Source organism: Homo sapiens, chromosome 9, assembly GCF_000001405.40.
Source record: "Homo sapiens chromosome 9, GRCh38.p14 Primary Assembly".
NCBI classification, from domain to species: domain Eukaryota; kingdom Metazoa; phylum Chordata; class Mammalia; order Primates; family Hominidae; genus Homo; species Homo sapiens.
In genome coordinates, this window is record NC_000009.12 from 86422230 (window position 1) to 86437808 (window position 15579).

General features: G+C 39.0%; 1 long non-coding RNA gene and 1 pseudogene across 3 annotated transcripts in view; one reads left to right on the top strand and one right to left on the bottom strand.

The window, feature by feature from the left end:
* The window catches only part of LOC102724080 (uncharacterized), a 117440-nt gene that overhangs the window by 8389 nt on the left and 93472 nt on the right, over window positions 1-15579 (top strand). The window contains exon 2 of one of the 3 annotated variants that reach the window (XR_007061635.1): window positions 13159-13468. The exons of the other annotated variants lie outside the window; for them this stretch is intronic. This is a non-coding gene — a long non-coding RNA (uncharacterized LOC102724080). Of the gene's footprint in view, window positions 1-13158; window positions 13469-15579 lie in introns of those variants that run through there. 3 annotated transcript variants of the gene reach the window in all.
* Window positions 713-899, bottom strand: RNU2-36P (RNA, U2 small nuclear 36, pseudogene; annotated as a pseudogene).

The window sequence follows — 15579 nt, forward strand, 5'->3', positions numbered from 1 at the left end:
AGGCACATTAATAAAATACCAGTCACAGACATGTTAAAACTCCTGAAATTCACAATGTTAATGTCACAGAAAGGCTGGAGAAATGTTTCAGATTAAAGAAGACTGAAGAGACACAACAATTGAACATAATATGTGATTCTGGACCAGATTATGTCCTTGAAAAAATTGCTATAAAAAGTATTGTTGTGACAATTGACAAAACTTAAACATGGACTATATATAAGATACAAGTATGGTATCTATGTTAAATTTCCTCATTTGTGGTTATATAAGCATTGCCTCGTTCTTAGGAAATACACATGGATATATTAAGGAGTAAAAAAGTAAGATATATGTAACCTATTTTCAAATGATTTGTAGAATAATATATATTATATATTCATATAATTAATATATTTATATTACATATAATACTATATTATGTTATATTACCATATATTATAATTGTATATTGTGGTAAAGCTATTATAGAGTTGTTTATATTATCCTTGCAACTTTTCTGTAAGTTTGAACTTATTTTATTTTCATTTTTTTTTTTTTTGAGATGGAGTCTCACTCTGTCACCCAGGCTGGAGTGCAGTGGTGAGATCTCGGCTCACTGCAACGTCTGCTTCCTGGGTTCAAGTGATTCTCCTGTCTTAGCCTCCCAAGTAGCTGGGATTACAGGCACACACCACCACGCCTGGCTAATTTTTTTTTTTTTTTTTTTTTTGGTGCACCATTCCTGGAAGTACTGCAATACCAGGTCAATGCATGGAGTGGATGGGGTAAGCTCCTATTCCATCTCCTATTTCCAAAAATCCATTTAATATATTGTCCTCAGATAGAGAATATATCAGATATTAAACTGATAAGAACAGATACTACACCCGATCTTAGCCAAAAGGCTGAGAAGTGATGCCTGGCTAATTTTTGTACTTTTAGGAGAGACAGGGTTTCACCATGTTGGCGAGGCTGGTCTCGAACTCCTGACCTCAAGTGATCTGCCAGCCTTGGCCTCCCAAAGTGCTGGGGTTACAGGTGTGAGCCACTGCACCTGGCCTGAACTTATTTTAAGATAAAAGGTAAAAAATAATCTGTAAAATAACACTAGAAACAAAGAAAAAGAGTACATACAACGCTACATCTTTTTACAAACCTAAAAAACTAGAGTAGTTTAGATAGAATAGTTGAGTAGCTGGAATTAAGCCATAGAATGAGAAAGGAGGGCATGGAGCCCAAGACTCAGCAAGCCGGTTACTCTGGGTGGGGTGCTTGCCGGTGGGGTAGCCAGCCACCAAATAGATTGCTGGAGGACATTGTTAAGCTCATTTTTTTTTTTTGAGACTGAGTCTCACTCTGTCACCCAGGCTGGAGTGCAGTGGCGCGATCTCGGCTCACTGCAACCTTCGCCTCCCAGGTTCAAGCGATTCTCCAGCCTCAGCCTCCCAAGTAGCTGAGACTACAGGCATGCGGCCACCACGCCCGGCTAATTTTTGTATTTTTAGTAGAGATGGGATTTCACCATGTCGGCCAGGATGGTCTCGATTTATTGACCTCATGATCCACCCGCCTCAGCCTCCCAAAGTGCTGGGATTACAGGCGTGAGCCACTGTGCCCGGCGAGATCCTCATTTGTGTTTCAGTGGTTGTCAGATTGATGGAAGGTTATTACATTACTAAAATCAAGCAATCAGAAAAAAACATGAACCAACTAATAGAGGACCATGCATGGGACCTAGCGAGACTGCCATGACACACACAATGTGATTAATCTGTTTGTTTTCATCTGAGGCCAACACAAAAAGAAAATACAGAAAGAGAGGGAGTAGGAGAAGAGAGATGGGGGTAGAGGGAAAGAAAGAAAGAGACTGGGAAATCAAGGAGTAGGGAAAGAAAAGTGCTTCAGGTTTTTTGAAGGAAAATAATAAAACAACTCTGGAGATAATAAACTGGAACGACAGAGTGGGAAAAGATGTAGCAAATTTTCAAGAGACGATAAGAATGGATTGGAGGAAGCTGAAAGACCAAGGAATGGGAATGCTGAGGCAGAAAAAAGACTAAGTAGTATTTCTGAGCCGCAAGAGGGACACTCTGTCTCCACAGAAGGGTGTCAGCCAGAGGGCTGGATTCCAGGAAAGGGTGATGTGGTTAAACAACAGACCAAGGTTTGGTCTAAAGGAAGGCTGACACTTAGCCAGCTGGGGTTTTCCAAAAACTTGGAGTGTTGTGGTCACTTCTGGCTTCTTCAATACTCCAGGCTATTAATTAGGAGGAACCGCTAGATTAACCTGCGGCCATAATCACGTCTGATGAGGGCTTATGTACAGAGGCTTATTGTCGGTAATTGAGGGGACTCCTCTGGGAGCTGCCGTCCTGTTGCAGCCTTTCTGGTGCCCAGTGTGGGAATAATGCATACTGGGAGCACACAAGGGAAACTGGGCTTGTGCAGGATGCAGATGCACTTACCAAGGAAACGAGTCACTCCCAAACGTTGTGCTGGAGCCTCTGGGTGCACAATGACCACTGACCAGTGAACAGGGGCGGGCCTTGTCAGCAGTAAAAGGACCAGGATATTTAGAAATATTCAAGCCATCTGGAGCCCGGCAAAAGTTCATTCTGTCCTTCCTGTCTTCTGCTCTATGGCCTCTGGACACAACCATGCCACAAACAAAACCAACCAAAGAAAGTGCCTCCACTGCGCGGGGAGGGGAGGGTCCCATTCACCTGGTGATTCAATCAGTCCTGATGAAGAGGGAAAAGGAGGCTGCTGCGAGCTGGCTCCTTCTGTGACTGCTCCTCACCTCAGGTGTGCTCCTGTCCTGCTAAGCTAACCCTAGATCCCTGAACAAATGAGGCTTTCCTCTCATCACCTGCTCCTTTTGGAATGTCCTTATTTCCCTTTCTTTGTCCACCTGGGGAATGAATACTTTTAAAAAATTTAAATGGAGTATGAGGTCAAGAGATCAAGACCATCCTGGCCAACATGGTGAAACCCTGTCTCTACTAAAAATACAAAAATATTAGCTGGGCGTGATGGCATGCACCTGTAGTCCCAGCTACTCAGGAGGCTGAGGCAGGAGAATCGCTTGAACGTTGGAGGCAGAGGTTGCAGTGAGCCGAGATCGCGCTATTGCACTCCAGCCTGGTGCCCAAGCGAGACTCCATCTCAAAAAAAAAAAAAAAAAAAAAAAAAAACAAAACAACAAAAACAATTTAAACACTGTGTTGTAGCGGTAGTTTTCATATAAAATGTTCCTTGATATTCTATGCCCTGCCCCATTCCGCATACACACAGGATTTCCCATGCCTTGGCAATCCCTCTTACGCTCTTTGGATGTTTTTCAGAGAGCCCTTTACTACACTGGTTTATTTACATATCTTTTTTTTCTCAACTTTTCTCCCTTGAGACAGAAAATTAAAATCAGTGCTCAATAAATTTTGGTTAAGTGAATAATAAGCACTAATCACAAGCCGGGCCAAGTGCGTGCCTTACACACCTTCCTTCATTTAAGCCTTCACGCAGCCTATCAGGTGGTGACTATTATTATTAATCCTCTCCTTACAGATGAGGAAATAAAGGCTCAGAAAGGTTAAGCCATTTGTCCAACATCATATTACTATTAATATTATTTTTAATGCATCATTCAAATGACACCAAGATCATATTACTATTAAGTGGTAGAAATTGGATTTAAACCTAGATAGTCTGACTCAGCATCCTCCCCCTTAACTCCTGCATGGTGCTGCCTCCTGAATAATCAAGAGTTATAGGTTTGGCCAGGGACAGTGGCTCATGCCTTTAATCCCAACACTTTGGGAGGCTGAGGAGGGAGGATCACTTGAGCCCGGGAGTTAGAGACCAGCCTGGGCAACATAGCAAGATCCTGTCGCTACAAAAAAAAATTAAAAATGAGCTGGGCATGGTGGCATGTGCCCAGCTCTTTGAGAGGCTGAGGCAGGAAGATCGCTTGAGCCCAGGAGTTCAAGGCTGCGGTGCGCTATGATTGCACCACTGCACTCCAGCCTGGGTAACAGAGTGAGACCCTGTCTCCAAAAAAAGAGTTATAGGTTAGTCAAGATACCAAAATACTGGGCTTTTCTACACTGCAAGTATTTCGAGGCTCAGTGTAATTGCAATGCAATGTTTAATCGTGATGGATGTATGTAAAATCTAAGACACAGACTTTGCCTCAAGGAGTTTGTGAACCATTTGAGAACCTTCAACTACTATTGGGAATGATTGGTGAATGATGTAAAGTATTATGAACTACCTTCTACATATTTTGGTGCCTCTGGGTACAAGGCACCTTGCTATATATTGTGAGAGATTAAAAAGATCAATGAATACAGTTAACTATACCATCCTACCATCCTTCCATCCTAGTTTTCCAGGATGGAATGGATTTTCTTTTTTTTTTTTTTTTTTGAGACAGCGTCTCACTCTGTCGCCCAGGCTGGAGTGCAGTGGTGTGATCATGGCTCACTGCAGTCTTGACCCACCAGACTCAAGTGATCCTCCCACCTCAGCCTCCCATGGGGACACACCACCATGTCCCGCTAATTTTTTTTTTTTTTTGAAAAGACAGGGTCTTGCGAAGTTACCCAGGCTTGGACTGGATTTTCTAAAAAATAAAAGTTTACTGAGATGTAATTCATATACTATAACACTTTCCCTTTTAAATTTATTGTACAGTTCAGTGGTTTTAAGTATATTCACAGGTTTGTGCAACCATCACCACTATCTGATTTTAGAACATTTTCATTACCCCAAAAGGAAACCCTATACTCATTAGCAGTCTTTTTTTTTGCTCCCCCACAACAATCTGAGCTACTGACAATCATTACTCTACTTTCTGTATCTATAGATTTGCCTATTCTGGTCATTTCATATAAATTAAATCATGCAATGTATGACCTTTCATGACTGGCTTCTTTCACTGAGCATAATGTTTTAAGATTTATTCCTATTGCAGCCTGTGTCAGTGTTTCATTCCTTTTTATGGCCAAATAATATTCTTTTATATGAATAATCACATTTTGTTGATTCATTCATCTGTTGATGGACATTTGAGTTGTTTTCACTTTTTTGCTATTATGATTAATGCTGCTATGAACATTTGTGTACCAGTTTTTGTGTGGACATAGGTTTTGATTTGTCTTAAGAAATAAAATTCTCTTAAGAAATCAAAGCCCACCTGAGAGTGGAATTGCTGGGTCATATGGCAACTCTATAACTTTGTGAGGAATTGTCAAACAACTTTGAAAAGAGGCTGTACCGTTACTTTGCTACCAGGAATATATGATGGTTCCAATTTCTCCACATCCCTGCCAACACTTGTTATTATATATCTTTTTCATTATAGCCATCCTAGTGGGTGTTAAGTGGTAAAACTCACTGTGGTTTCAATTTGCGTTTCCCCATGATGATTTGCTTAATGATGTTAACATCTTTTCAATTGCTTGTTGGTCATTTGTATACCTTATTGGGGGAAATGTCTATTCCAATCATTTGCCCACTTTTTTTTTTTTTTTTTTTTTGAGATGGAGTCTTGCTCTGTTGCCTAGGCTGGAGTGCAGTGGCACGATCTCGTCTCACTGCAACCTCCACCTCCTGGGTTCAAGCAACTCTCCTGCTCCAGCCTCCCAAGTAGCTGGAATTACAGGCCCCCACCAGCACACCCGGCTAATTTTTTTTTGTATTTTTAGTAGAGATGGGATTTCACCATCTTGGCCAGGCTGGTCTGGAACTCCTGACCTCATGATCCACCCGCCTCAGCCTCCCAAAGTGCTGGAATTACAGGAGTGAGTCACCGCACCTGGCCTCCTTTGCCCATTTTTTAATTGGGTTGCTTGTATTTTTATTGTTGAGTTGTGGGAATTCTTCATTTATTTTGGATGCTAAACCCTTATTTGATATATGATTTGGAAATATTTTCTCCCGATATGTAGGCTGCTTTTCCACTTTCTTGATCATGTCCTTGATATACAAAATATTTTAATTTTGATGAAGTCTGATTTATCTATCTTCTTCTTTTGTTGCTTGTGCTTTTGGTGTCATTGCCAAATTTGAGGTCATGAAGAGTTTTCTTCTAAGAGTTTTATGATGCTAGCTCTTATTCTTAGGTCATCGATCCATTTTTTTTTCTAAATTAACACTCTTGCTGTTCTATTTTTTCTTTCTTCTTTCTTTACTACATTAAAATTTTTTATGATCCATTTTAATTTTTGTATATGCAGTGTGATAGGAGTCCAACTTTATTCTTTGGCACATAGATATCCAGTTGTCCCAGGGCCATTTGTTGAAGACACTATTCTTTTTCCACTGATTGTCTTGGGCATCCTTGTCAGACCAAAGCCAATTGGCCATAGATGTATGGATTTATTTCTGGACTCTCAACTCTATTCTGTTGATCTATATGTTTAGCTCTATGCCAGGAGCACAATGATTATTTTCGGAGATGGGGTCTTGCTCTGTCCCGCAGGCTGGAGTGCAGTGGCATGATCATAGCTCACTGCATCACTGCAGCCTTGAACTCCTGGACTCAACTGATCCTTCCACCTCACCCTACTACATAGCTAAGCCTACAGGCATGTGCCACCATGCCTAGCCAATTTTTAAAGTTTTTTTTTGTAGAGATGGGATCTCACTTTATTGCCTAGGCTGGTTTTAAACTGATTTCAAGCAGTCCTCCTGACTCAGACCCCTAATGTGGTGGGATTACAAGCATGGGTCACTCACCTGGCCCACACTGTTTTGATGACTGTAGTTTTGCAGTAAGTTCTGAAACTGGAAAGGGTGAGTTTTGCAACTTTGTTCTTTTTCAATATTATTTTGGCTATTCAGGTCTCTTGCATTTTCATATGAATCTTAGAATCAGCTTGTCAATTTATGCAAAAAATATACAGCAGGGATTATGAAAGGGATTAGGTTGAATCTGTAAATCAGTTTAGTGAATACTGCCACCTTAACAATATTAAGTCTTCTGATCTGGGATGTGTTTCAATTAATTTATGCTTTCTTTAAATTTTTTTAAAAATAATGTTTTGTAGTTTCCAGTGTATAATTCTTGCATTTCCTTTATTAATTTTTTGTAGTTCCTCTTTATTCATTGTATTTATTTATTATATTCTTTTTGATGCTATTAGAAACTAAATTTTTGAAATTTCAGTTTTGTATGGTTAATTTACAGTATATAGAAATACAATTGATTTTTGTATATTGGTCTTCTATTCTACAACCTTGCTAAACTCATTCATTAGTTCTAATAAATTTTTTTTTGTGGATTTCGTTGGGTTTTCTACGTACAACATCACATCACCTGTGAGTAGAGATAGTTTTACTTCCTTTCCAGTCTGGATGCTTTTATTTCTTCTCCTTGCCTACTTGCTCTGATTAGAATCTCCAGTACAATGGTGACTAGAAGTGGTAACAGCAAACACCTTTGTCTTGCTCCTCTTAGGGGAAAATATTCAGTCTTTCATAATTAAGTGTGATGTTAACTATGAGATGTTAGTAGATGTCCTTCATCAAATTGATAATGTTTCCTTCTATTTCTATTTTTTCAGTGTTTCTTATTTTGAAAAGTTGTTGAATTTTGTTAGTCTATTGAGATGATCATGTGTTGTTTTTCTTCATTTCATTAATGTGGTATATTACATTGGTTTACTTCATATGCTAAACAGACTTGGCATTTATATTATGACACACTGGTCATGGTGTATGATCCTTTTTATATATGACTGGATTCAGTTTGTTAGTTTCAGTTGAAGATTTTTGTGTCTATATTGATAGAATGATTTGGAAACTGTTCCTTCCTCTTCTATTTTTTTTTTTTGGATGAGTTTGAGAAAGATTGTTAATTCTTCTTTAAATGTTTGGTAGAATTCACCAATGGGCCTAGACTTTACTTTGTGTAAAGTATTTTCGTTACAGATTCAACCTCTTTATTTGTTATAGATGTATTCAGATTTTCTTTATAAATCAGTTTCAGTAGTTTGTGTCTTTCTAGGAATTTGTCCATTTTATCTAGGTTGTTTATTTTGTTGGCATACAGTTGTTCATAGTATTCCCTTATTATCCTTTTAATTTCCGTAAGGCTGAGAGTGATGCCCTCTCTTCCATTCATTTTTTATTATATTTTATTATATTTTTAAAATTTAATTTAATTTTAAGTTCCGGGATACATGTGCAGGACGTGCAGGCTTGTTACATAGGTAAACGTGTGTCATGGTGGTTTGCTGCACCTATCAACCGATCACCTAGGTATTAAGCCCCACATGCATTAGTTATTTATCCTGATGTTCTCCCTCCCTGTGGCCCCATTCCTAGTTTTAGTAATATGAGTATTCTCTCTCTCTTTTGGTCAGTCTAGATATAAGTTTGTCAATTTTGAATTTTCACTCTTGTTTTTATTAATATATACTCTACTTCATTTATTTTCATTCTAATCTTTATTATTTCCTTCCATTTTGCTTTGGGTTTAGTTTGCTCTCCTTTTTTCTGGTTTCTGAAAATGGAAGTTTAGGTTAGTGATTAGAGCTATTTCTTCTTTTTAAATATAGGTATTTATATAGCTATTAATCTCTCTCTAAGCACTTCTTCAGCTGCATCCATAAGTTTGGCATGTTTAATCTTTATTTTCATTTATTTCAAACTATAATTTTCCTTGTGGTATCCCTTTTGACTTACTGGTTATTAAGAGTATGTTGTTTAATTTTTACCTATTTGTGAATTTTTCAAATTTACTTCTAATTAATTTCTAATGTCATTACATTGTGACTGATGAACATGCTTTGTATTATTTCAATCATTTAAATTTATTAAGGTTTTCATCATAGTGTATGGTTTATCCTGGAGAATGTTCCATGTGTATTTAAGAAAAACATGTATTGTGCTGTTATTGGGTGGAGTGTTCAATTAATGTCTGTTAGGTCAAGTTGGTTTATAACGTTTGCTTAGTCCCTTTGGGCTGCTATATAATAAAGCACCACAGACTGGATGGCTTATAGACAACAGAAGTATATTTCTCACAGTTCTGGAGGCTGGAAGTCTGAGATCAGGGTGCCAGCCTGACTGGGTCTGGTGAGCGCTCTCTTCCGGGTTGCAGATGCTGACTTCTTGCTGTACCTCTTATGTGGCAGCAAGATGATGAGATAGCTCTCTGGTGTCCTTTTTATAATGGCACTAATACTATTCATGAGGACCTCACCCTCATCATCTAATTACCTCCCTAAAGCCCCATCTCCTAATGCCATCACACTGGGGGTTAGAGTTTCAACATATACATTTTTGGAGGACACATTCAGTTTATTGCAGTATTTTTCAAGTCTCCTATTTTCTTATTGAAACTGGGTAACTGAAACCTCCAACCATGATTACTGAATTATCCATTTCTTCCTTTAATCCTGCAAGTTTTTGCTTCATGGATTTTGGGACTCTGGTATTAGATGCTTATATGTTTATAATTGTTAGGTCTTTTATCATCATAAAAATCTTCTTTGTCTTAAAGTCTATCTTGTCTTCTATTAATATGGGTCTCTGGCCCTCTTTTGGTTACTGTTGGGTGGTATCTTCTTACTTTTAACCTCTTTGTATCTTTAATCTAAAGTGTGTCTCTTGTAGACACAATAGAGTTGGATCTGTTTTTTTTAAAAATCCATTCTGTTGGTGGGGCATGGTGCTCATGTCTGTAATCCCAGCATTTTGGGAGGCCGAGGTGGCCTGGTCACTTGGGGCCAGGAGTTAGACAACAGCCTGGCCAACATGGTGAAACTCCATCTCTACTAAAAATACAAAAATTAGCCAGATGTGGTGATGGGCGCCTGTAGTCCCAGCCACTTGGGAAGCTGAGGCAGGGGACTCGCTTGAACCCGGGAGACGGAGGTTGCAGTGAGCCAAGATTGTGCCACTACACTCCAGCCTGGGCGACAGAGTGAGACTTTGTCTCACAAAACAAACAAACAAAGCAAAACCCATTCTGTCAATAACTGTATTTTGATTGTAGTGTTTAATGCATTTACATGTAATGTAATTACTAACAAGGTAGGATTTATGCTTTTCGTTTAAATTTTTTTCTATATGTTTTATGTCCTTTTTTTCCACTATTTCTCCATTATTGCCTTTTTGTGTTAGAAATTTTTTAATATACAATTTTGACTATACCTCTAAGGCTGTTTAAAAAAATCTCTTAATTCTCTTGCCATTCTTTTGCTATATATTTTGAATTATTTTCTTAGAAGTTGCACTGGGGATAACAATTAATATTAATTAATTTATAATTAATAAAGTAATCTAGTTTGGATTAAAACCAATTAAATTTTATAGTATATAAAACTTTGCTGATGGACCGTATTTAATGTAATATTATTCTTTTCAGGAAAGTTAAGTTGTTAAGTATGATTTATTTTTTATACCTTTTTAGGACTTTTCATATCATTCTATGTCAGGCCATGTATTTCTTACTTCAAATAATTTCTAATGTAGTTGAGGAGAAAACCAAACATATGTGAAAAGTCAGATGGCAGTCAAATCTTTAAATACTAATTCAAGGCAATAACAGATATGAGTAACAACTCTAGACAGAAAATGTGTAGTGGCTTCATGACAGGGTATTTCAGAAGATCAGTTGATGTGAAACCCATGGCCCAAGTTAGTCAAGGAAGACTTCATGGATTTGCAATTTGACCTTAGTATATGTGGAAGTGTACAAACTCATTGATATGTAAAGAAAATAAATGGGAACTCACCAAGCTAGCTTCTGACTTTTCAGTGAGGTCATCTGTCTACTTCTGTATCCACAGCACCTACAACACTGCCTTACACATTGTAGGTGCTCAGAAAATATTTATCAAATGATCAGATGAATGCATTTGGTTGAATAAATCAGTTAGGTATGGAATTGGAGCTTTGCAAGAGAGGACATATATTCTGGAGCATCAGCTTTGGACCATTTGCTAGGTAATCGATAAGGGGGAAACAGAGCTGGTAGGTCATCTGAGTCACAGTTTGCTGCTTTCTTTCTTTCTTTCTTTTTTTTTTTTTTTTTTGTAGAGACACAGTCTTTCTCCGTCACCCATGCTGGAGTGCAGTGGTGCGATCTCGGCTCACTGCAACCTCCGCCTCCCGGGTTCAAGCCATTCTCATGCCTCAGCCTCCTGAGTAGCTGGGATTACAGGTGCATGCCACCACGCCCAGCTAATTTCTTTTGTATTTTACTAGAGACGGGGTTTCGCCTTGTTGCCCAGGCTAGTCTCGAACTCCTGAGCTCAGGCAATCCGCCCGCCTCGGCCTCCCAAAGTGCTAGGATTACAGGCATGAGCCAGCTTGCTCCTTTTAAGAGGAGTTCAATTGCTGGTATCATTTGGCCATTATTCCTATTAGTTTTTGAGAATCAGAGAATGCCACAGTTTTCATTTTTACTTAAAAATCTATGCATCTATAGTCTTTTTCAGAGAGTTCAGGGAAAAAGGACTTATAGGGACACTATGAGTTTGTACAATTCAGTAACTGAAGAACAGAGTGGCAAAAGTTCTTCAAATACTGAGAGAAGAGATGCTAGGAAATGCATCAGAAACATTATTTGAAACATCTAACAGGGTTTTTATTTCTTAGTTTCCTATATTTAATTCTTTTTTTCCCTATATTTAATTCTTGACTCTCTATGGTAGTCAACCTCAGAAAATTTCAATACTTTCAAGAATTATCACATGAACAGAATTTAAGGTTTTAAGCATTTTTTTTTTTTGCTCTTTAATGTGATCTGTTGTTAACAATTACCATAAATCTTTACTTAAGATTTACTTTAAGAGACTTGCACCACCCTTCTATTTTTTGGTCATTAGAGACTTTCTAGCGAAAATGCTAGAAAGCTAAATGAAGACTAAAAGGCTGCTTTCTGGTTTAAATTCATCTGTACCTGCAGTTGCAAAGCCAGTAGAGGGAGCAGTGTACCTATTCTTTGATTTCTGGAATTGCAACTACTTGGATGGACTGAATTTCAAACAATCTGCATAATCAAGACTATTTCACCCAGAGAGAGGGAGTCAGGGGCTACAATTTGTTTGTTTGTTTGTTTGTTTGTTTGTTTTGGCAATCATGGCTTTATGTTAGGGTATTAGCAGAGTTACAGAGTTGCTTTATTACATTGAAGAACTTTGATGAGGTTGCTGTGTGAGGACTGTTCTTCCATTTTGCTTCCTTTAACTAAAAGTCATTTGAGCATTTTGTACCAAGTCCACAAAAAGCTGGCTGAGTAAACTCATCAGGTGGATTAGATTCTCGGTATTCAGGATAGCTTGCGCAACCGGGTGGGCATGTTCGCTAATCCCTGCAACTTTGATGTGGCTGCAGAGTGGGAGCTGGGATGAGTTCTTCCTCCCTGACTCACTGGTTTCCACTCCACGAGACTCCAAAGTCTGTCCCGCACTGTCTCTCTAGCTGACTTAGCAGAGATAGGACCCCTCCTGTTCTATCTCATCTGACTCACTCCCACGGAGTTATTTTTCCTTAGCGACAGGGCCATGGGCCGAGCAAAGGAGGCAGCACTCCTGTCTCACCACTCCACCCCCTTTAACAACTGTTGTTTTATGTAACATTTTACTTGTCTTTTCACCATTGGATTCTCCCCGTGTTTCTAGCTACCAGCTCATAGCTTAGGTGGGGTTCTTTTCTTTGTCTTCACTTACCTTTTTTCATTGAAACAGATGCTTTAGCAATATTATCAGCCCATCTTTGCTAACTTTTTTTAAATTCAATTCTTTTGTTTTTTTAATTTTTTTAAAATTTGAGAATGAATCTCACTCTGTCGCCAGGCTGGAGTGCAGTGGTGCGATCTTGGCTGACTGCAACATCCGCTTCCTGGGTTTAAGCGATTCTCCTGCCTCAGCCTCCCAAGTAGCTGGGACTACAGGCACACATCACTGTGCCCAGCTAATTTTTGTATTTTTAGAGACGGGGGTTTCACCATGTTGGCTAGGCTGCTCTCGAACTCCTGACCTCGTGATCCACCCGCCTCGGCTTCCCAAAGTGCTGGGATTACAGGCGTGAGCCACCGCCCCCGGCATGGTATTCAATTATTTTGACAGTAGCTCTTGGTCTTGTGATGTCGCTTCCATTTCTTCAACAGGTATTTATGTCTTTCCATTTCTTTTTGTTTTTGTTTATGCCTTCTCTCTCCAGCTAGAATGTGAAATAATACCTGTGGCTGAAAAGAAGCTCTTTTGACCCAGGATCCTGGTCCTCTGCATAACAGTCAAGACCATTCTCATTTGCCTGAAAGTGTTTTAGAGAAGAAAGAGAAATTCAGGACCAATCAGCAATTCCCTTTTCCACTCTTATGAAGAAAGAAAAAGGATTTGTGTTATTTGAGATTTAAGTTACTTCCTTTTTTCCTATGACAGGTTTTGGTAAATGCCCAGCTCCAATAATACGTTAACATTTTCAGAGTCAATCTGGGTTATAAGTAAATAAACTCCATTTTGATCTTGTTCTCGTTGGTTCTTTTTTACTGTCACTTTTAGGCCTTTTTTGAAAGGAGAGAGAGACATTCTCTACCAGGTCAGAATCTGCCCTATGCTTATTCCAGATCAGTATGCTTGGTCCAATACTCAATCACTAATCACTTACGTGACACGCTGTGTGAGTGAGACTAACTTTTGGCTATTCTTAAAGTATAGCTACAGTGAAAACATCATTAGGAATGCCTCTGGCTACTGTATTCAGAAAAGATACTAAGTATAAGAATTTTGGAAAGTCAGCTTTATCCTTTAAAAAGGTGATAGTTTGTGATTCCATTTGCTTTACTCTTATTTTGCACTCTGTTCAGAGATCAAGAAGGGAACTGGTTACCATTTATTGGTGCCTCTCAAGCCCCTCCATGCCAAGATAAGATGGGAAAAGTTGAGTTTTGAGGATTTGGGGAAGTCGAGTAAGTCTGGTGAGTAGAGTGGGGAAAGCCCAAGGTTAAGGCTGTCGTGGTTAGCGATGGAAGAACTGAGGTAGAGAGCCTGGAATGAGGGATCAGATAATGAGAGGAGGATTCCAAGTGTGGCTGATGCCAATGGGGGGTGAAGACAGAAGTCTAAGGAGTTATGGAGAGTAAGGACAAAAAATGAAAGTGCCATGTCTGAAGAATCATTACTATTGACTTGAGAGTCTTCAAGTTTGGTGAAAGAATTTCAATGAAGCATTCTACTCTCAGAAATTGAGATCTTACTACTGCTTTAGTGACTATTTTATCTGATATTTTTATAGCAACTCTATCATTCATTTTGTTGGTACATGCTTATATATATTTTCCCATGTTATTCAAATGTTGTATGTCCTTTGGTTTTAGATGTTGGATAGAGTGAGTTCTAAATTTCTCTTCAAAGAATCACTATGTCAGTATGGTCAGTTCTTTGTCCTCCATTTTTAAGTTTAACTTCCTCGTAGTTTCAGTAAACAACATTTTCCGCCAGTTTTAATCAGTAGTTCACATCTGTTCCCCTGGTCACCTGCTCCATCCTGACTCATCCTGGTTACCTTTTTTGACCTGAATCACCTGTGGTCACCTAAGTCTGACTTAAGTCACCTTTAGTCACCTGTTCCGTAATTGTCCTTCCCACAAAACTACTGACCCCACTACTCTGGCTCATACCCCTGCTCTCTTTAAAATAGCCTATCAGAATTAGCTTAGACTGTATGGTCCAAGCCTGCCATTAGGGGAACGACACAGCAATAGGGACTACCTGTGTCGGGAATAAGAACCCCTTCCCCTCCCTTTTTCAGGTGTGCTCTTGCCATTACTCCATTTGACAGTCATACCCTTCTATAGAAGTAAAAATTGCCTTGCTGAGAAAATTATGTTCAAGTGCTATTTCTTTGTGGCACTGAGAACAAGCATTTCATTTCTAACATAGGTAAACCTGGCTTCTTTTACTTTTTAAAAATCCGGTTTTGTTTTCATTTTCTTTTATACTTAGTCCATTTAGCCTTATTGTAGACTTTGTCTTTTGTTTTTTTTTTCTTTTTTTTGAGACAGAGTCTCACTCTGTTGCCCTGACTGGAGTGCAGTGGTGATGCAATCTTGGCTTACTGCAACCTCTGCCTCCTGGGTTCAAGCAATTCTCTGCCTCAGCCTCCCAAATAGCTGGGATTGCAGGTGCAACAGGCGTGCGCCACCACACCCGGCTAATTTTTTGTCTTTTTAATGGAAATGGGGTTTCACCATGTTAGCCAGGCTGGTCTCGAACTCCTGACCTCAGATGATCCGCCCACCTCTACCTCCCAAAGTGCTGGGATTACAGGCATGAGTCACTGTGCCTGGCTACCATTTATATTTGAAAAGAATATTTGCTAGAACTAGGGATCCAGGTTTTTGGTTATCTTCTTTCTTTTAGTTCTTTGTCTCTTCTGGTGTCCAGTGGATGGATATTAAGAAGTAAGCCATCAGTCTTTTCATCATTTCTCTGTGGGTAAGTCTCTCTTTTCTCTCTGGCTGCTTTAAACACTTTCTTTGTCTTCTTTGATGTTCTTTAGTTTCACTGTGCTATGTCTAGGCACCCATATCTTTGGGTTTCATTGATTGCAGTAATTTGAGGATTGGTATCTTTCACTAAT